This window comes from Homo sapiens, chromosome 21 (assembly GCF_000001405.40).
Source record: "Homo sapiens chromosome 21, GRCh38.p14 Primary Assembly".
NCBI classification, from domain to species: domain Eukaryota; kingdom Metazoa; phylum Chordata; class Mammalia; order Primates; family Hominidae; genus Homo; species Homo sapiens.
Window position 1 is genome coordinate 26,428,294 of NC_000021.9, and position 22,134 is coordinate 26,450,427.

General features: G+C 38.3%; 2 long non-coding RNA genes across 5 annotated transcripts in view, besides 1 other annotated feature; one reads left to right on the forward strand and one right to left on the reverse strand.

Moving 5' to 3' along the window:
* CYYR1-AS1 (CYYR1 antisense RNA 1) overlaps window positions 1–22,134 on the forward strand; it is a 175,618-nt gene that overhangs the window by 34,659 nt on the left and 118,825 nt on the right. The gene's annotated exons all lie outside the window — the stretch shown is intronic.
* LOC105372758 (uncharacterized) lies at window positions 3,713–9,186 on the reverse strand. Of its 3 annotated transcripts, none has more exons than XR_937627.3 (4): window positions 9,147–9,186; window positions 8,383–8,544; window positions 7,274–7,399; window positions 3,713–3,789 (listed from the first exon to the last, which is right to left on the reverse strand). It is a non-coding gene; the product is annotated as an uncharacterized LOC105372758 (long non-coding RNA). The 3 variants fall into 3 exon arrangements; XR_937624.3 differs by lacking the exon at window positions 3,713–3,789 and adding an exon at window positions 4,351–4,495; XR_937626.3 differs by lacking the exon at window positions 3,713–3,789 and adding an exon at window positions 5,962–6,047.
* Window positions 12,597–13,796: an enhancer, noted in NCBI's record as "MED14-independent group 3 enhancer chr21:27813209-27814408 (GRCh37/hg19 assembly coordinates)". NCBI's record gives its function as "activates an origin of replication core promoter dependent on BRD2, BRD4, P300/CBP and CDK7 cofactors, and independent of MED14, by STARR-seq in HCT116 cells {active_cell/tissue: HCT116}" and the evidence as "EXISTENCE:reporter gene assay evidence [ECO:0000049][PMID:35650434]".

Genomic DNA, 22,134 nt, shown 5'->3' on the forward strand with positions numbered 1-22,134 from the left:
GAAGAGAGGTATCTTATAATCATGTAGTAAATGAGAATGTGAGTGGACTAGGAAAATGTAACATAATTTTTGGGCCCATTGGAAGTTGGAAGTCATGAATTGACGGTAAGAGCAACCAGCACTTTTGTGCATTTTCCTCTAGCAGTATTTAGTTGCAGAGATGGAAGTGTAGTGACGGTGGAGAGATGAATTTGACCAGGGTTCAAATGCTATGAAGTGAGACAAGCAAGGGATTGAGAGTGTTTACCAGGGAGGATTTATAATGACTGAAATGGAATTTAGGTTTTGATGAAGACCAAAAGGAAGAGTTTAGAACAGTGAGGGACAGTAAATGGGGTTAAGTTAATAGAATGAAGTTTTTTTAGAGCCAAAAGATTGCTGTATGTTAGATAATTGAATCCTTGAAACTGAAATTTAGGAGAAGTTGCTTTTATTTATCATGTCAAGGTCCAGTTTGTGACCGTGGGAGTTTGTGGTTGAGGAAGGGTTGAGATCAAGATTATGGACAAGAGGAGTTTAATGAGCCGAGAGTCCAGGGACTTTGAAAAAATCATTTATATGGGTATTGACGTTACTAAGATTCAAGATTAGAAGCAGTTTGTGGAGAGTGGCAGTAAGCTGGATGCTAAGGTTTTTGAGAAACAAAGGCTTCAAAGCTGGAGCTTTCAGGAAATATGGAAGAAGAATGGTCTGGAAGTGGCAATGAGAAGCACGGAGGGAACTTCCGAATCTCCCATCCAGGGTCTGGGGATTGTGGGAGAAAACAACCACTGCTTGAGAGGGTTTCAGGGGCATCACACCCCTAGGGAGACCCAGGTTTCACTTAGAGGAAGAAGGCCAATAAAGCCCCTAAGGACACGTTTAGGTGGTTGGGTGTGCTAGAGATGTCTGACCTGAATTCCAGAGGGCACAATATAAATTTCGGGAGTGGAGGATGACCCAGGGACTGGGGCAGACACAGGGATACAGAGTTGTGGGGACTAGAGTAGATAACTGGTCACCTGGGAGTTGGAATTTCTTAGAACAACTGATTTAAGTAGTGGGAAGAACCATAATTTGATGAATCCTGGTGGCCTCACAAAAGAGTGATGTTGAGTCTGAATGTTGAGAGGTAATGAGAAGGGGGGCTTGGGACACCCCCTCAGTACGTCTGAGTGAGATGTAGAGGCTAGGAAAGGGTGATCTTACGCTGAAGATATGAGATTCTCTCAAGTCTCCTGAAGATAGAATCTTGGATATATGGAGAAGGGATGTTTAATCTGGGGTGCATAGCATAAATTATTTTAATTAGAGGAAATAATCTTGTAAGTGTTGCCAGTATCAGAGAAGAGAAACTCAATTACATGGAGAATGGATACGGTATCTTGGAGAAGGCTTGCTCTTTATTCTGGTATATAAAACATAAAGAAGATGAAATACAAATGTAGAGGAATTATCATTGTCTACCTATCTCTTAATTAGTTAATTCAGTTTCATTCTTCTGGCTTTTACAGAATGTCTTTTAAAGGTGTTTCTTGTCCAAATTGCACTACACTTTGTGAACATGACCATTGAGATTTCTTGGCAGAACCTTGATCTGTAGATAACCTCAGATATTTTATTTAAATGTTATTTTATTTATTTCTATAAGCCTTAATTTCTCTGGATTTGGTAGCATAAAATTGAATCCAACTAATATTTATTGTTTCTGGTGTGGGCAGTAATTAGTTATGTCCTCTGGGAGAGGAAGAAGAACTCTAAGATGCTTAGTAGCTTAACTGAAACTAAATTTTGCTTTGCATTTCTTAATATTTTTTCTTGATGAACATTTCCAGGGAGTATCAAAAGTACATCCTGAGGTCAAATTTTTTATGGCCATTATTAAAATTAAAATTTATAATTTAAGAAAAAGCCTGTACATTTGGAAAGCCCCACCTATGCACATTACATTGGTTATAGGGCAGAACTAATTTTGTAGCTGTAACTAGAAAATATAGAATATATAAACATCTTTATTTTCCATCTACCGCCACATAACTCTCCTGGAAAAATGGTTTTATACTTACTACCTACATTACCATGATCTGCTACTTTCTGTTGCACCTACTCTATGTGGGTACTGTCCCAAGCTATACTCTACATGGAGATCACTAGTGCCCTAGGTTGTCCATTTTTAGTTTCTATCTCAATCTCCACATGAACACTGTTTAGTCCTCATCTTGTCCTGTCACTATGTTTGAGTCTGTTGATAACTTTTACCATGTTGAAATATTTTCTCCTGTTGCATTCTTGCACCCCACATTCCCCAGGTTTTCCTGCTTCTCCACTGCCATTTGTTATTGGACCATTTTGCTGCTACTTCTCCTCTTTCAGATCCATAAAAATGTTGTTAAAGACCCAGGCCTCAGTCTTTGGTCCTCCTGTCTTCTAATCCACACTCATAGTTTGAGTGCTCTCATCCAGTCCTGTGGCTCTACAAATTATTACGGTGGTGTTTCCCAAATTTTTATTTCTAGTCTCAAGCTCTCCCTGAACTCTAGACTCACATATTTAACTATTTGACATCTCCATTGAGATGCCTAGTGGGCATCTCAAACTTACTATGTTTCTAAACTAAATGCTGGTTTCTTCTTCTCTTCAATTTTCCATATTTTAATAAATGAAACCACCACTTATCAGAGTGCTCAGGCTCAACCTTGATGGTATTTTTCTTTTATACCCAAGACACATTCATAAATCCTTTGGCTCTGCTTCTGAAATACACCCAAACTCCAACCACTTTCAAGCAGTGCCTCAACATTATCACCCTTGCCAAAACCATCGCCTTGACTGCCACCAAAAGCCTTATGATTTATCTTCTACTCTTGTTCCCCTAGATCTAATTTACATACAGAAAACAAAGTGACCTTTTAGATATGTCAATCAGATTATGTCTCTTTTTATCTTAGAACACTACAGAAGACTTTCCATCCCATTAACTATAAAATACAAAGACAAGAACTTACATTTCCATCTTGTTTTCTATAATGTTACCACTTTTCCATGCACCCCAGACACACTGGTCTCCTCTCTGTTCCTTGAACATACTGAGTATGTTTTTACCTGGGTCTTTGCCCTTGCTATGCCCTTTGGCTGTAATGCTTTCTCCCAACATATACACAGGCTTCCTTCATAATTCCATTCAGGTGTCTGTGCACATGTCGTCTACTTAGGACTTCCTGGACCATCTTATTTAGATAGCAAATCCCCATCCTTCATTACTTGCTACCTTTCTACCGTGCTTTCTCATTCTTCTTCCCTGGCTTGCATTATACTTTCTATTTATCTGTTTTTTTTTGTTTCTCCCAATGGAATGTAAGCTTCCTGGTATCAGGGTCTTTATTTTATTTCTCTGCTGTGTCTGGGACACCTAGACCACCTAGAACCCACGACAAATTAAGTTATTGTCAGTGAGGTGAGTCAAAGTTGCATCTACTTCCAGAAAGAGTTTTGATAGTGGTAGTGGTAAGTATTTGGCAGTTGGCCTGAAGTTGTTATTTTGTTCTAAGAATTGTTGCAGACTAAATGAATATTTCTGATAAGGAAATGGAAAGGAAAATTTGAATACTCTTATATTTTCATGTTTTCAATCTTATGGTGGTGAGTCAGGCTTGTAACAAATGCTCAACACATTTTATTTAATAAATGAATTAAAAGAATGAATACAAGTATGCATATATATATATGATATACGCTGAGATCACATCACAAATTATTATATCTCCAGACAATTTCTTTTTTTGCAGGGACTATGCCATAGTGTCAGAAGTCCTGTTTTATGAGGCAAATAAAATACATTTCACTTTGCATTATTTGACTGTTACAGAGACATAACATTCTATCTCTATGGCTTCACTCTGTTTAAAAGCAAGAAACTTTTTATAACTGAAAGAAAAAAAACAAGTGCACTTTAATTAACCAAAGACATAACCTCTTACAAATATACTAAAATGTAATTTGAGAACCATTTAAGTCAAAAATCATCTGCATTTTTCAAACTTTCACACACCACCACATGACAGGAATTTTTTGAAAAACTACTTATCCATAATAAAGATTGCTCCAAATATAAGCAATACAATTTATTCAATTTTACAGTATTGCATTTTTTCATTCTCATATTTTCATCCTACTAAGAAATTAGGGTTTGACATTTTTGGACGTGAAACTCTATCCTCCTTTTCTGTGGTGATTATGTTAAGTTCTTCTCCCTCTCTGCATTTCACAGAGCATACAGGAGTGTGGTCAGAGAAGGGGCTTGGAAAGAGCATATGTCAAGTTGTCAGAAAATGTGGTTTTCAGTTTCCATTTTGGCATCTTAGCCATGTGACCTCGAGACAGGCACCTAACCTCTGTATGTCTCTAACAAGAGGGTATCAACAGTTGGTCTTTGAGATGCCTTTTGCCGTGCAAGTCCCTGGATTTATGGAGGTCTCCTCCGTTCATTCGAGGGTGGGAGTTCCTCTTCAACATTGCACTGATCAAATCAAAGTAAAGTGATTTAAAATCATGTAGAATCCTAGACTTGACTTCTCTTTTCATTACCTCATTATATTACTTAACTGTATTCCTATCCTTGCATTAAAAAAATTAGTTCTTATCAGGAAATCACTCAATTTATGTAAGATATAAGTAGCATTCAACAAGAGTTGGTTAATTTAATAAATGAAGATGAATGGAAGAAATGATGTCGTTTGTCTGAATTTAATATGCTGGACTTAATATAGTTAAGAAGAGTGTAGGACAAAACAGGTTTTATTCTTATAGCATGCTATTGTAGAGAGAGAGCATTTTAAGCTCTATTTGATAATAATATGCATTTACATGATAAAATTTTTATTCAAAATCAATTTTATTGAAGTATAATTTATGTAAAATATAATGCACACATTTGAAGTGTACAGTTCTATGAGTTGTGACAAATGCGTAACCATATGTTATGCGTTGAATTGTGTCCCCTCCAAAAAAATGATGTATTGAATTCCTAACCCCCAGTACCTCAGAATGTAACCTTACTTGAAGATAAGTTCTTTACCGAGATAATCAAGTTAAAATGAGGCCATTAGGGTGGGCCCTGATCCCATATGACTGATGTCTTTCTGAAAAGGGGAAATTTGGAGATGGAAACTTGCACTCAGGGATAACACCATGTAAAGACTGGACTTATGCTTCCATAAGCCAAGCAACTACTGGAAGCTAGGAGAAAGGCCTGGATTGGATTCTTTTTTAGCACCGTCAGAGGGAGCATGGCTCTGCCAACACCTCAGTCTCAGGCTTTTGGCCTCTAGAACTATGACACAATACATTCCTACTGTTTAAGCCACTTGGTTTGTGGTACTTTGCTATGGCAGCACTAGGAAATGGACATACCATGTAACTACCACTCTCTAAATAAGATATAAAATATTTCCATCACCCAGAAAGCCCATCTCCACCCCCTACTCCAGGCAATTACTGATCTGATTTCTATCACTATAGATTAGTTCTGACTGTCGTAAAATTTTATATGGATAGGATCTTGCAGTGTGTTCTCTTTTGTGCCTGGTTTCCTTCATTCAGCATACTAGGTTTTGAAATTTATCCATGTTGTTGAGTGTGTCGATAGTTCATTCATTTTTATTGTCAAAATAGTATTCTCTACTTTCCCCAAGTTGTTGCAGCTCAATTGATTCTAAGTGGGTGGGTCTATTTCTGGATTGTCTATGCTGTTCCCCAACTATTTTGAAACACTATTTTATTCTGTTATTCTAAAAATAACATGAGAATAAATAAATAGTATGCTATCCAAATAAATTATAACTGAAACTGAACTCCAATCCTAAAAGAGATGGTTTGACCCAGCAAGTCAGTAAATCACAACAAATTAATGTCAGCACATCAAGGAGGCCATTTGAAGGTATCGTTTTGCCTATTTAATGAGATCTAAATATTTGAAAATGTTGACATATGCTCCAGTTCTGTGAAGCTCCTTCGTTTTGTTTTATCTTCTCTCATTCCTGTGCTTTACCAAAATCCCTCATGCCCAGGTGCTGAAAGTGACACATTAGGTATTTATTATACAATGTGGAGCTTATCCTTAGCTTTCCTCCCACTTCCATGCAGATAATGACTCTTTTTTTTTTTTGAGACGGAGTCTTGCACTGTTGCCCAGGCTGGAGTGCAGGGGCGCGATCTTGGCTCATTGCAAGCTCCGCCTCCCGGGTTCACGCCATTCTCCTGCCTCAGCCTCCCCAGTAGCTGGGACTACAGGCGCCCGCCATCATGGCCGGCTAATTTTTTGTACTTTTTTAGTAGAGACGGGGTTTCACTGTGTTAGCCAGGATGGTCTCGATCTCCTGACCTCGTGATCCACCCACCTCAGCCTCCCAAAGTGCTGGGATTACAGGCGTGAGCCACCGCGCCCGGCCAATAATGACTCTTATACCCAAAAGTTGCTGTAAAAATTTTTTTAACAGGTGGCACAAGACCTTGGCATTACTTAAATCATTAATTTTATGTTCTCTAACATACTGTGCTCATTATAATCATGTAATTCTAAAACTTATTCCCTGTATATATGTACACGTGTGACTTTTTCTGTGCTCTTTCAAATCATTTGGGATGTTTTTGCCCTGTTGTCTAGAGGGCCTTACATGGATTTACATTTCTTCTATAAAGAATTCATAACAGTCCCAGTTGACAGTGACTATTCACTTGGTCTACTGCACCAAGCACTGTAAAGAACACATAATGGGCCCACTCTGAATGTTTGTTGAAAGAGTAAAAGAAATCAGCAACCACAGCAGTGTGCTATAATTTAGATTTGGTAATGTTTTTCTTCCTAACTCTAAGTTCTGCAAGAACAATGGTTTTATTATCTACAGCAGAAAGACCTTTTACATGAAAAGCTAATCTTTAGGATGCAAAAGATAGGATCATTCTAATTTTTTTTTTTTTTTTTGAGATGGAGTCTTGCTCTGTCACCCAGGCTGGAGTGCAGTGGCGTAATCTTGGCTCACCTCTGCCTCCCAGGTTCAAGTAATTCTACTGCCTCAGCCTCCCGAGTAGCTGGGATTACAGCCATGCGCCATCACTCCCAGCTAATTTTTGTATTTTTAGTAGAGACAGAGTTCCACCAAGTCAGCCAGGCTGGTCTCGAACTCCTGACCTCAAGTGATCCGCCTGCCTCAGTCTCCTGAAGTGTTGGGATTACAGGCATGAGCCACGGCGCCCGGCCAATGTTTTTTTAATGGGCTTCCATTTAAGAAAATCTCACCTGGCGAAAGTTACAAATAGTCCACTCTGATTCAAGAGGAGGATGCATGGTGAAAAGTGTTAAGATGTTGTCTCCTGTCTCCTGGAGGTGTGATCTAGGGTCAGTGTCTGTAGATGTGGTGTTAGTCTGTAAACAACAGAGGACAGTTAGAGGGCTTTAAACAGAGACAGCTGATTGGAGTTGGAAGCTGGACTGGATGAATGCAGGACTGAAAGAAGGAACCAGTTAAAAGAATATTGTAAGAGTTTTGCGTATTTTTATCTAGAAGAGGGAATTGAGAATAAAAGAGAGAGAGGCCAGAATGAAAATATATCTAAAGATAAGTTTAGTGAGCAGTTGGTTGTAGGGGATGGGGGAGAGAGGATTCCAAGACAATTTAGAATTTCAAATCATATTCTTGCTAGTATTCCCAGTTCTTCTCCATCTCACTTTCCTCTGTCCCCTTTCCTTTTCGTAAGTGTAAAGAAAGCCATAAGGCCAGAACAGTGACTTCAGGATTTGTCTCCATTAGAAGGAGACTTCGACAAATAATAGACACTGTAACTGTATTATGCAGACATTTAAAATAAGGTATATTTATAATGTTTCAGTGTAGAATCAAGTGAGTTTAAATTCTATACACAAGGTCAAGTAGACTTACTGGTGGAAAATCAGGTAAATATCACAATTTTGGAGGAAGGATAAAGTAAAATGTACAGTGTGAGAGGGATATGAAGAGGAACAAAGGGAAAAGGCTGTTGTAATGTCTTAGTGGATTGAGCCAGTTATGCTAATCTTCTGCTGATGATTAGTATGCAGACAATATTTAACAATTGCTCTTAATAAGCAGCATTTCTTTCTTTTTAAATTTTTATTATTTATTTATTTATTTTTTGTGAGATGGAGTCTCGCTCTGCTGCCCAGGCTGGAGTGCTACGGAGTGATCTCAGCTCACTGCAACCTCTGCCTTCCGGGTTCAAGCAATTCTCCTGCCTCAGCCTCCTGAGTAGCTGGGATTACAGGCATGCTCAACCACGTCCGGCTAATTTTTGTATTTTTAGTAGAGATGGGGTTTCACCATGTTGGCCAGGTTTGTCTCGATCTCCTGACCTAGTTAGTGGTCCACTCACCTTGGCCTCCCAAATGCTGGGATTACAGGCGTGAGCCACCACACCCAGCCAATAAGCAGCATTTCTGATGAGCTTGATGGTCCAAATATTTTTTGGCTTCTCTGTACTTTGTCATATTTTACTAGGATTGAAAAAGATGTTCAATCTGGAAGTAGCATATTTCTGTAGGTTTAGGTAGAGAAATAAGGAAAAAATGAAATTAAATAAAAAAGCTTTCTCCTATTATCCTTATGTAGTCATAATGGTAGTGTACATTTCTAGCACTTTATACTCCTCACATTTTACTTTTTTATTTTATATTTGTGATAAGACTGAAAGGCAACATTATTACCCTCATTTGCAGATAAAAAAATTAAGCCTGAACATTTACATAATGTCTAAGATTTTATAATTTATGAGTGGCTTATCTGTATCTTGACTTTTGGTTTTTTAACTCTTTGTTCAATCTTATTCCAGTGTGTGTGTGTGTGTGTGTATGTGTTTGTGTTTCGGGGAGGGCGAGGTGGTGGGGATCATTGGAGGATTTATAGAAATAGCATCCTTTGCTAAGCCAGTTGCCTCTCCTGTACTCCATCTTACACATCTGGAATTTAATGGCAGCAGTGAGCATTATTATTGAAAGTGAGTTTAGCCAAATTTGATAACCCTCAGACCCTGCAGAAATTTTTAGTAGGTTCCTCCATTGTTCCTTATTGGACAAGTCTTGGATGTGTATGAGTTTACTACTTAAATGTCTGGTTGGTCTCTGGGGTAATTTCACATACCTCATTCTTCTGGCACTTGGCAGTGAAATGCTGGAACAAGAACTTAGCAATGTGTGCCTTTTGTCAGAATTTTTAAGAATGAGGTCATAATGGAAAAGCAAACCCACTAGTTCCCCTTTCCATGGTTTCCTGCCTCAGCACTGGTGCATCAACTTCATGACACCTGTTTAGGTCCCAGTGTGACTGTGTCTTGTCCAGACAGAGCTCAGCTTTTGCCCTCACTCAGCAGACTGCCACCCTGACATGGATGGTTCCCTTTGTCTCTCCCTTCTGCTCTGCTGTCCTGTTCCACAGGAGGTGCCAATCCTGTCTCTTCAGCAGTTTCTAGCTCCAGCAGCTCTTAGCTGTTTGCCCCATGACTGCTCTCCTCTTTGTTGCTGCTACTTAATTTGCCTCTCTTCCTGTCCTCTGTTCTACTCCAAACTTCCCAATCTGCATGACATTCGCTATCCAGCATGTGGTGAGCATGGGTCTTTATGCTCTTTTTAATTTAAGAATTGCCCAATTTTGGAAACACTTGAATCCTATCCTCTGATACTGCCCTTGGGGAAACAGCCACTGGACAATACTTGCTATCAGACTTTTCCTCTCCTCCCCACATTTGACTATCCCTTTTGTGAGGTCCATGTCCATGTCTTGGCTTAGAATGAGGATCTTACTTTCCTAAAGGCTGCAGCATGGCTACTTTTAACCTTCTGCCAGGAAAGGAGGATCTTAGCTCCTCATAGAGCTTGTGTTTATTATTCCCGGTGCTTGGCACTAAGGATTGCAGAGCTCCAATAGAAAGTGTGAATTCAATTCAAACAATATTCTTGGTTTATCTATTGACTGACAGCTGTCAGGAGATCCAATCCTTACCCCATAGCCTCTGAAGACATCATGTGAGGCTGAAGATCCTGGTTTATTCTGTGAGTGCTTTTTTCGTGTTAAAATTATATAGTCCATGTATGTTAAAAAAGATTGCGTGAAATTCTACTTTGGTCATTAAGTATTTGAAGATAGTCAGAAGTGTTAGCAATCTCATTCTCTTTCTGACTTAATCCTTTCTCTAGCCACACTGTGGCACAGCTGATACCAATGTGAGGAGAGAAACCGAGCTACTGCATTAGCACCACTTGTTCCACAACAGGTTTCAATAATAAATCAAAGCTAAGGGAATCGAAGATGAGAAATGCCATGTTTAGGATGATAGGGTCATATCCCAATGTTAGTGAGCATGGCCATAGTTTGGGCTGGAACTTCATACCTCGTGCTGGAACCTCCAATAACAAGCTAGTGGGAGAATTGGGAAGCCAAGATTGAGAGGAACCAGGGATGGTGGCGAGGGTGGCTGTTAGCACAAATTATGGTGCTCAGAGGTATTTGGCCATCTCAGCATGATCTAGGCTGGCCTAGATTCCCCGTCAGGAGTGGGTGGAGGGTTTGCAACAGGGAGAGAGAGCCCAGCCTGAGGGATGTTTCATAGAAGTTGAGAGAGTAGTAGAACTCACTATCAGGTGGGAAGCTCAACTGGTTCAAAGGGAATTTTGACCCTCATCAAGGAATACAAACATAGGTTACAACCCCCATCTGAGAATAGGGGAAATGTTTGTCAAGTTGTCAAGGCCATTGTTAAGAGGTCAGAGGGTTATAGCAGGATTTCAGGCCCAGTATAGGAATAAATTCTCAGTGAGGAAGCAGCTGGCCAAGGCTCTCCAGGCCCATTAGAAGGCAGCTGTTACAGTTCCTTATAGAAAGTCTATCTTGGTTGAAATTGAATCAGTAACTGGGTGGAACTGAATTTTTTCATTGAAGGAACTAATAACTGCAGGAGAAGGAGATATGAAAGGAGTGACTGGTATAATATTGTGGTGGGAAGGGTGATCAGCTCCCTTGGTTTGAGTGGACTGAGGGGGTTCCTGGGACAAAGGACTTAGAATTTTAAAACTGGGACAGTCCTGGGCAAACCACAATATGATGGTCAGCCTGTGAGGAAAGGTATTTGATAGTCTTGGTCAAATGGCTGGGCAAGTGTTGCTTAAGGTTAAAGAAGAAAAACAAACAAAAACTGTTCATGTTGGTAAAAATGTGAAATGTAGAGTTGGTAGTAATCTGAGTGGGAAATGAATATTCACTTCCTACTGTACAGATACATATTCAATTATAGAATCTTAAAATTTCTGAATTGAGAAGAAAGTTGGATATTATTTAATCTCTCATTGTGTGAATGATAAGGTTGAGAGTCAGGGAGATTCAATAAATACTGAAGTTGGATTAGCTAATTACAGGCATACATTTTCTGACTCCAAATTCTTTGCTTGCCCTCATGGATTTTTTTGTGTAACACCTGAAGATTCTTCCTCATTCCTCTTACCACGCATAGGCTAGTTTTTTTTTTTTTTTTTTTTTTTTTTTTTATACTTTAAGTTCTAAGGTACATGTGCACAACGTGCAGGTTTGTTACATATGTATACATGTGCCATGTTGGTATGCTGCACCCATTAACTGGTCATTTACATTAGGTATTTCTCTTAATGCTATCCCTCCCCCCACCTCATGACAGGCCCTGGTGTGTGATATTCCCTGCCCTGTGTCCAAGTGTTCTCATTGTTCAATTCCCACCTATGAGTGGGAATATCTGGTGTTTGGTTTTCTGACCTTGCGATAGTTTGCTCAGAATGATGGTTTCCAGCTTCATCCATGTCCTACAAAGGATATTAACTCATCCTTTTTTATGGCTGCATAGTATACATGGTGTATATGTGCCACATTTTCTTAATCCGATCTATCATTGATGGACATTTGGGTTGGTTCCAAGTCTTTGCTATTGTGAATAGTGCCTCAATAAACATACAAGTGGATGTGTCTTTATAGTAGCATAATTTATAATCTTTGGATATATACCCAGTAATGGGATCGCTGGGTCAAATGGTATTTCTAGTTCTAGATCCTTGAGGAATCACCACAGTGTCTTCCACAATGGTTGAACTAGTTTACACTCACACCAACAGTGTAAAAGTGTTCCTATTTATATATTATTAGTTCTTTTCTCAGAGTCAGTAAGCCTTCTTCAAAGATTATAGTAAAATCTACAATAGAACTATAAGGATAGCAAATGGTAATGCTTCTACAACTATTACTGTTACTATTACCAGTAATAACATTGTCAAAATCTTGCCAATGTACCATAATGTAGCAGTCTCTCGTTGTGAGGTATCACTTGGAGTTCTTTGTCTCAAAACCAAGAGAATTAAGGAGCGTGGACACAAAGGGTGAGGCTGAGGTGAATGTTTTTTATTTTTATTTTTTGAGACAGAGTCGCACTCTGTCACCCGGGCTGGAGTGCAGTGGTGTGATCTCAGCTCACTGCAACCTCTGCCTTCCGGGTTCAAGTGATTCTCCTGCCTCAGCCTCCCAAGTAGCTGGGACTATGGGACTAAAGGCATGTGTCACCATGCCGGGCTAATTTTTTTTTTTTTTTTGTATTTTTAGTAGAGACTGGTTTTCACCATGTTAGCCAGGATGGTCTTGATCTCCTGACCTTGTGATCTGCCTGCCTCGGCCTCCAAAAGTGCTGGGATTCCAGGCATGAGCACTGTGCCCAGCCAAAAGTTTAATAATTGTAAAAAGAAAGCTCTCTGCTATGGAGAGGGGAGCTGGAAGACGGTTGCCATTTTTACAGTTGAATACAAAGGCTTTTATAAGAAACCGATGAGGGCTGAGCAACTTATTTGCATAAGGCACAAATTTCTGGTAGCTCCACCCCATCCTCCTAGTGCATGTGTGTGTCCTTAGCTTGGGTTACTCCATATTGCTTTGTATCCCTCACAGCACATGTGTTAAGAGACAGAATTTTCCATTGCAGGCATGTCTGGGCAAGCCACCTGGGTAGCTTTTCTTATCTGTGCAGCTGTGGGCATGTCTTAGGCAAGGCCCCCTGTGCAAATTCCCTTATCTGTGCCAGAAGTCTGTTATTTTGTTTTAAAGAGTTCAACCGAGGACCCACCCTAACTGCCTGCCTGATCATTTTTCTCCTTTCTCCTCTCTCAGCATCACTGCCATTACCACCATTACTGTAGTATGAGGGGAATATCAGAAAATGTTTGTTTCATCCCCATTTCTGAGGCGGGTTGAAATAAAGAACACCATGAATTCAAGGAGTCTAGCAGTACTTCTTGGCTATTGGATCTCTCTTCATCATTTCTACTGTAAATCTTTGAGATGGATACTTAGCTCTGGAGTCAGTGAATTTACTCTTTCCTACATGTTGTCATTTTGATTACTGGCTGGGCTATAAATCATACTCAGACCATGCATCCCTGAAGTAGGAAAAGAAGTAAAATACTGCATAGTGACCAAACTTCAACCCCAAAAACTGTTACAAGAGAATTCCATATCTACAGAGTGAGTAAAAATGACAAATAAGTAAGTCTTTAAGCTTCAAAGTTTAAAGGAACAGATCAATTTCAAGTGGAGGGCTAGCTTGTCATTTCTCATTCTGTGTATTGTCAGGTCCATGATGTCTAGCATACCCAGAGTAGCTCCTTGGGGATTGTCTGCTGCTGAGAGTCACAAATAGAAGAAGGATGTTTCGAACAAGTCCATGAATAAGATGTATTCATGCTTTGAAGGTGCTTCTGGAGAGTACTAGAAAAAAAAAACCAATCCAGATTCTTCACTCTTTCAAATTAATGCTAGAAGACCATCCCTGAAATAGCTCCTTGGTATGTCATCTGGCCCCTTCAAGATTGGTTTGAGAATAATCTTGATCCGGACTACAAATTGAAAATATAAATTCATATTTTGGCTCTTGAACTTATACAATTACCAAGTGGCAGCTTACATAATTAAATGTTATCAGCAATGATTTTGGGAACGGGCTGATTTTTTTGCCCAACACAAGGCCTTGACTATTTTGGAATTGAATAAATATAATTTTTTGGAAAAAACTCCTATTGTTCCCAGGAGAGCAATGGATTTTTGGAATGGTGAAGAAGGGTGAGAGTTGTTACCAGGGGCCAGAAACTACATATCTGAGACTAAAAGTATATTCTCACCTGCTAGAATCAGGTCATAGGAAGGTAAATTAACATTTCAAAATTCAATGGTTTATTTCTAGGATTCCAGGGAATATTTTTGTCAACCACCCCTGAAGCTTACTTTAGTATGGCAGATCTTCAGGTAGTGCTAAAATGTCCCTCTACGAGCAGTAGATAATCCCTATGAGGAATTTTCTCTTTTTTAATTTGGATAATGTCACCTGGATCATGCTCTTATATAAGCACCAAATCAATGTTATATAAGTGGTAACAACCAAGAGTTTCAAGCTTCAATAAATATAAGGTTTATTAAATGCAAACTAAGTGAAGTTCATTGCTTTTGCTACTTAATAATTGCTTAGCCTAAAATAGTCACCATTTTTTTTTTCTGGTATAAAAGACCTTTCACATACTTGCTGAACACAATTAAAAATTAGCTTCATGAAAAACTCAAATTGAGATGGTTAATAAATCCATTATTGGGTACTGGGAGATTGCTTTTTCAGATGGAGTTAAGAGTTTTTCTCTATGATATATTGTTTTCAATAAAGAATCAGCTCCTACACTAACTATTCCAATATCCATTATGAATGAAAACATAATAAAACATATCTTGTCAGATTAAGAAGCTCCTGAATCAACCTTCGGAAGACAAAGTAGGGCTTCTGCATAAACTGGTTATATTACATAGGGTAATGCCAGCAGGCAATCTTAATTATGCTTTCTTCTAGCACGTGATGATATATCCTGCAAAATATTGTGGGCAAACACTTGTGAGAGGAACCAACAGTGCAATTTTTAGGGTAGGTGCATTGCATAGTGGTTCTTTGCTTTTCTGTTAGGCTTAAAAACACCTAGTTTTGTCATTTTCTTCAATTTAATCCAACTCATATTAGATTTTGTAATTTTATCAAGACTAAATTCCTATCTAATCAGTAAAACATAGAAAGTAAAAAAAAAAAAAAAACGTATCCTGTAGTTTGGTCTTGTGCAAATAAACCACCTTCTTTTTGTGGGCACAATGGAAGTTGAAAATCTTTATGTATTTTCTTGTACTGTCACACCATGTGAGTCAGGCAGATCAAATCCACCTTCTAGTCTCAGTTTTCCCATGTGTAAAATGGAAAAAATGCAGTTAATACTACTTTTAGAAGGATGCTGCAAAAAAAAGCAATAAAATTCTGTAATGTAATATAAAATATTACAGCCATGTTTTAAGTACAAAAAGATTCTTGAAAGTTTTCATTGTAAGTCTAGATTATGTGAGTAGAAAATTAAATTCACTAAGTGAACTGGTTATTTGAAATTTCATTGATTAGTCTTCCTATAAAAAAGACTTTCATATCTCATGCTTGCTTAAAACATAGCAGAGACCATCAGAAAATGAAGCCATTGTATTTAGAATAGAATTAATGTGAGGATACAGTTTCCACATTTTTCCCTTCAAGTTGTTCTGCATCTTGAATGAACACAGTTCTCCAATTAAACATGAGGCTGGAGATTGAGAAGAGACTTTCCCCTTAAGTTAGTAAGTTTCCAGTTCTTAGTCAAGTCCAAGCTCTGCACTTGGAGTTAATCATTTTGATTGGTGACCTAGTCTTGGCAGAGGTGTGTTTTGTCTTTTACCACAGATAGCTCAACTATCCTGACTCACAGAGAGCTTACTAGAATACATCATGTTATACCCTGTAGAATTCTAGAATACTGTAGTATTCATAATCCTGGTGCGCTTTTATCACCATGTTTTCAGGAAAAATTTTAGACTGTGATTAAATGAACATGCTAACCCAAAACAAAAGCAAAACAAAACCCCCACTGTGGCATATACATGTGAGTGAGGGGAATGGGAATCGACCCTTGTTTATTATTGACTGTTGTACCTAAAACTATACGCTAATTCCTATGAGTGAACAGAATATGGCATTGGTATCTCATGTAGTTACAAAGAGTTGATTTGATTCAAACTTGTTGATAGGCAGAATTATTGTTGTGGATTTGGTAATTAGACATAAATGGGAAGTCCTAAAGACCATGTTTACTTAAATCACAATGTGTATGCTCACTCTATGGTGAATGCAGAAGAGGACATTAGCAGGTGTGGGGGGCCGAATTTAAAATGGTCCTGATGACCTTTGCTGCTGGCCTCACTCCCATGATTGTGGTACTTTGTGTGGAAAAATGGAGATTATCAGGGTTGGCCTAATCTAATCATGGGTCATTGAAAACCAGAGATTTCTCTGGCCAGTTGCAAAAGGAAATATAAGAGGGATGTGAAGTGTAAGAAGGATTCAATATACTGTCTTTGAAGATGGAGGGGGCCAGGTGCAGAGACCAGAGAGCAACCTCTAAGAGCTGAGAGTGATCTCTGACAGCCAGCAAGGAAATGAGACCTCCACCCTGTGGCTGCCATAGAACTGGATTCCTTCAACCACCGGAACAGGTGGATACTCCTTCAGAGCCTCCAAATAAGAGTCAAGCATGGTCAACATCTTGATTTCAGCCTTGTGATATCTGAAGCAGAGAACCTAACTGAGCCCACCTGGACTTCTGATCTATTGTTCTGTGAGCTAATAAGTGGATTATAGTGGTAAGCTGTTAAATTTGTGATAATTTGTTACACAACATAAAAACTAATACAATGGGAGTAGATCCAATTCTTTAAATGGGCAATACTGTGTTGAACAAACGACTTGACAGAAAACTAGGACTTTAAGAAAATTTTAGAAAGTCATCATATTTCAGCTTTATGTCTCCTAGAAAAAAAATCAATTATTGGAATTTCCAGTCTGGACTGAATAGAGGCTTCTGAAAGTTTTGTGTCATTGCTTCAATAACAGCTCAGCAGGACTGACTTTGATTCCTGTTCATGGAATATACACGTGGAAGAATGAAAAATCTAGCAAGTTTTGGTGGCCCAGTTCTTCAAATTTTCCTATTCAGTCATCTTTAGAGACTGACATATGCTCTTCAGCTACCTCTTTGCTTGTAGGGGATTGTAACAACTGCTCTTATAAATTTCCTGTCTGTAAGTTGCTGAAATTCCACAAAAGGGAAAAAGAGATAAGCTCAAAATAAAAAATAATTCCAGGCAATACAAATCTTGCCAATAGCTGACTAATTGTGAGTTTTGTAGCCAAAATTCAGTATGGCACTAGAAGCAGATGGGGCTATTTTAAAAAGAGGCCTACCAAAATCAAGGAATTCTTCCTCTGAAGTGACCACAGAAATCTTCCTGGAATGTTCTTCTAGACCAAGCCTTCTGTGTAACATTTCACAGAAGAGCAAAATGCCTTTGTCTGTTAGTTTCGTAGTCTGATGTATGGCACACACTTTTCCACCACTTTTGAGCTATAATCAGTTTGAGGGCACCAGAAATAGCTTCTAACCAACAGTCTTATATTCCAACATTTTTGTCATATACTGTCTAAAATGTAACCAGATAACATGATGATTGCTTTCTGAAATACTAATACTATTTCCTATATAAAAGGCATCTTTTATGGGCAGATAATCTATGACAAGCTTACATTTTTTAGGTAATTTCTCAAAATGACAACCCTGCTATATCTGTTTTCTAAAAATCAAATTGTATGACTGGAATCAGCTTCAATATTTAGTTCTTATCATTAAGATGTTATAACATCAATGAAAGATAATTGCATTTCTTTTTAATTTTTACTTTAATTTTCAAATAGGCAATATATTCACATGGTTTAAAATTTAAAAGTCATAAAAGAGTATTCATGGAAAATTCTCTCTTCAACCTTATCTTCCAGCCACCGAGGCTCATTTTCTGGAAAGCACAGTGCCACTTATTCCTTAGGTGTCCTTCCAGCCTTAGTCTATGCTACTTATACAGAAATCTACATGTCCATATAGATAGATGTACTCTGGCTGATGGCAGAAGGAAATGTAAGAGGGATGTGAAGTGTAAGAAAGATTCAATGTGCTGTCTTTGAAGACGGAGGGGGCCACATGCAGGGACCAGAGAGCAACTCCTAATTGCTGAGAGTGATCACTGGCTGACAGCCAGCAAGGAAATGAGACTTCCACATTGTGGCCGCCATAGAACTGGATTCCTTCAACCACTGGAGCAAACAGATTCTCCTTCAAAGCCTCCAAATAAGAGTCAAGCACGGTCAGCATCTTGATTTCAACCTTGTGTGATCTGAAGGGGCCCCACTGATAAGCTTTGTGGAATGTGTCTTAGAGTTGCCTGTTTTGCCATGTGGTGTTAACTCCCTCATGCCTCCAGTGCTGCACACGTATCAGAATGGCTGGGCAGTTTCCACAGGTCTACCAGGCAGTAGCAGCGGGGAAGCCCTAGAGCAGGATTGATAGCTGAGTGGTGCATCTGAGGAAAGGTGCTGTGAGGCTACACCTGTGATAATAAGGTAGTTGTTGAGTGACAGTTGCATTAAAAGACTTTTAGCCAAAAGAACACGAGAAAAGGCACAAGAGACATTCAACACATGGACCATTTTGGTATGAGTATGCATAGCACCATGAGCGTTAAAGAGGGGGTAGGAAACTGTTACTGATGCTGAAATTCTAGCACAGATTCAAATTTTCATACATTTCTGATTCTAGAAAGCGACTCATTTTGAAAATATTTACTCCATGGACTGACATTTCTTAGTAGTTGCTAGTAGGATTTTTTTTTATTGTCGTAAAATATGCATAACAAAAAATGTACCATTTTAATCGTTTTTAAGTATGTGAATTCAGTAGTATTAAGTCTATTCACATTGTTGTGCAAATTAACGGGCTTTGGTTGGAGAAAATTGTGGTAGAAATTTTCAAATTTTGGTCATGTTGAAAGTTGCTGGTTTATACTTTTTTTTTTACTTATGTCCTGATATATCAAAAAATGTATGACTGATTTCTTTTTGTAAACTTGCCTTCTGCTGATGCCTTGTCATGAAAACTAGTGATGATTATTACATCTGGAATTCTACACCTGTGGAAATGGCTAAAAAATTCTAGGAGCAAACATAATTTAAAATGGCCATTTTTTTAACTCATTATTTTGAGACGTGCCAATTTGTGAAGTATCTGGACATGCATTGTTGGTATTGTGAATAACTTGGACAAAACCAAATTGTGCAAAAGTCTTTCTCCTAAGCACGAAGAATGTTGGGTTGATCCACAACGGAGTTAGCCTTGGATAAGCTCGTCACAAAGTACTGTCCAACTTCAGATTGTACCACTGACAAATTGATGACAATTAATAAGAATAGGATGGGTCTTTTGACATAATCCTTAGAAAAAAATATATCTTTGGACCTTTTACTCAGGTGTCTGCTCATGCAGACACCGTTTTTCTTTTTAAAATTCACTATTCCTTAAAATACACCCTGAAAAAATACCTAGTTTCCAATAGCTATTTCTAATGAATACTAAATACTAGAATACTGAATTCTAGGACATTAAAACATTTCCTCTCAAGAAGCATTTGAGCCTTCCTCTTTTTAGTATAGATGGAAGCTTCTCTCTAATGGTGCCACATTGCACATTTGCAAACCTATGTTTCAGCAATGTCACATCTGTGATTGTTGGTACACACACCACACACACACACACATTCAAATCGCTGAAGTGGATTCAAAGAACCAATGGCCTTTAGGTCAAGGTTTCTAAAGCATCTTGTCCCAGGAATTTTAAGCATCTTGTCTCAGGAATTTTACATGTGAAAAAATTTACTCATCTCACACGTTCATGTTAGCAGTCTAATCTTCTAAGACCTCTGCAGGAAATAACTTACTACTATGTTTTGTGAACGTGAAGACTTTCTGAAAGAATCCATGCATGGCATTTTTGACTTTGCAAATAGAACATAATTCTTCAATGGCATGTCTGAACTAATCTGAGGATGTTAGCCTGAGGTTTCCTGTGTTTTATCAAGAGCAAAAAGAATATAGTTCACATTATGACAAGCATAGATATTAGCAGTGTCCAAGTTATTTTTGTGTTGTGTCCTCTTGGATTAGAATATTTATTCTGGTCATTGAAATATCAATAAATTCAGTCAAGAAAAATAATTAGAAGAATTTATTGTAACTGTATATATAATGCTTAAGGCAGTGTTTGTCAGCTTGACCCTATTGACATTTTGGGCCAGATTATTTTTTATTGTGGGAGCTGTCGGATCTTTAGCAGGATTCTCATGTCTACCGGCTAGACGCTGATATTTTCTCCCCAAGTTGAGACAACCAGAAATGCCCCCTGGACATCGCCAAACATCCTTTGGAAAGCAAAACACACACATTTTAGAATCACTAGCTTAAAGGAATATACACTGAGAAACATTGACTTAAGGCATGCTTTCTAGTCTCAGTATCAGCTGCAAAAATCGATGACGTACCCTGGGAATGAGGGGCTGTACCCCTGTTGAAATATGAGAATAATTTCTTACCATTTACCAGTTAGGTGCTATACTCAGTCCTCCAGATTCTTCTCCTACTCTACCCTGGCTCCTCCCCAGGGACCATTTTCCACCTCCCAACTATGCAGAAACTCCAGGACTAAGTCTGACGTGGCAAGGGGCCTCCAGAGTCTGTTAAACTTTCTATTACATTTTATCGTCTTACTCTGTATTAATTTTATTATTTATATTAACTCATTTTACTATCACCTTTTCAGACAAGCTAGAAGAACCTGTATTTATTGTGCCTCTCTATTCACAGTGGAGTCCTTGAGCAGAAAGTCAGATTACTCCCTTTTAGTTTGTTGTCTTTAATAGACAAATGAGAGTTGTTTCCCTGTTCCACACATCATCCCTCTTCTAAAATGACTGAGCATTCCTTACCACTGAACACATGTTGAAACATATCTGGCTTGCGTTTCCTTTTTAGAAGGGCTTGTTGTGAGAATCAATGGAAAAGTACCCAGAGAGAAATTGCTACACAAACTTACAATGTAAAAATAGCTCCAGCGGAGAGGATAACAAAAGCTTTGTCAAATTGCACATAATAGAGTCAATGATAGGCAGACGGTGCTTGGAACTGGTCCTCCTGATACTTCAGTCGTTCATTGGCAGGCTGCTCATGCTCCTTCACAGATTTAGAGATACTGAGGAATTTACTGCACAGTACCGTAGATCACAGCCTAAATCCTTATTTGTGGGGTTATGAGCATTTAAATATTTTCTTGTGGGTTCCGTGGATTTCACAGAATTCTGTTTTGTTTCAATCTGAAAAAAATCCTCCTCTGCTTATGCCTGTCATTAAGAATTACCAATTTTCTGAAACTCCCCCAATCAAGATTTCCCCTTAAAATACGTGAAAATAAATATTTTATATTAATTTACCTAGAGTAAATTAATGTCTTTTAAATAACTATTGATTTCTGATTATAAAATTTAATGGACTGTTTATTCAGAAAGCAATAAAAATTTCAAAACACACATAATAGTACCCTTTCATCCAACAACCCAGAGATAAAAGTATTCTGGATTTTATATATAGATGGAATTGCTGTTAAACGCAAAATGGGAGCACGCTATAAATCCTCTTTTTTTCTACTTAATATAAGTGGACATAAAGTAGTTTTGCGTGATTCACTTGTGGCAGCCGTATCGTATTTCACTGAATGCATGATCATTATGAGTTGATCCTTATGGATGCATGATTATGTTGATTTTGTCTTATGTCATATTTGACATAGCCGTTATGATTCTCATGCACACATCTTTGCATATTTGTACCATTATTTCTTGTAGACAATTTTCTCAAAGTGGGAGCATGGAATTAAAAGATTATGCACATCTTGCAATTTGGTGTATGTTACCAAGCTGCTCTCCAGGAAGAGCCGCCCAATTTACATTCTACTATGGCCTGAGTGCACCTGATCCTCATGTCTTCACTAGACACCTATATTTTAAAATAGATTTTCAATATATTAAGAAGGCTGTCAAAAGTTTTGAGGTCTTGAATTGATTTAGTTTGATTGTAGAAATTTGTGATTGTGTT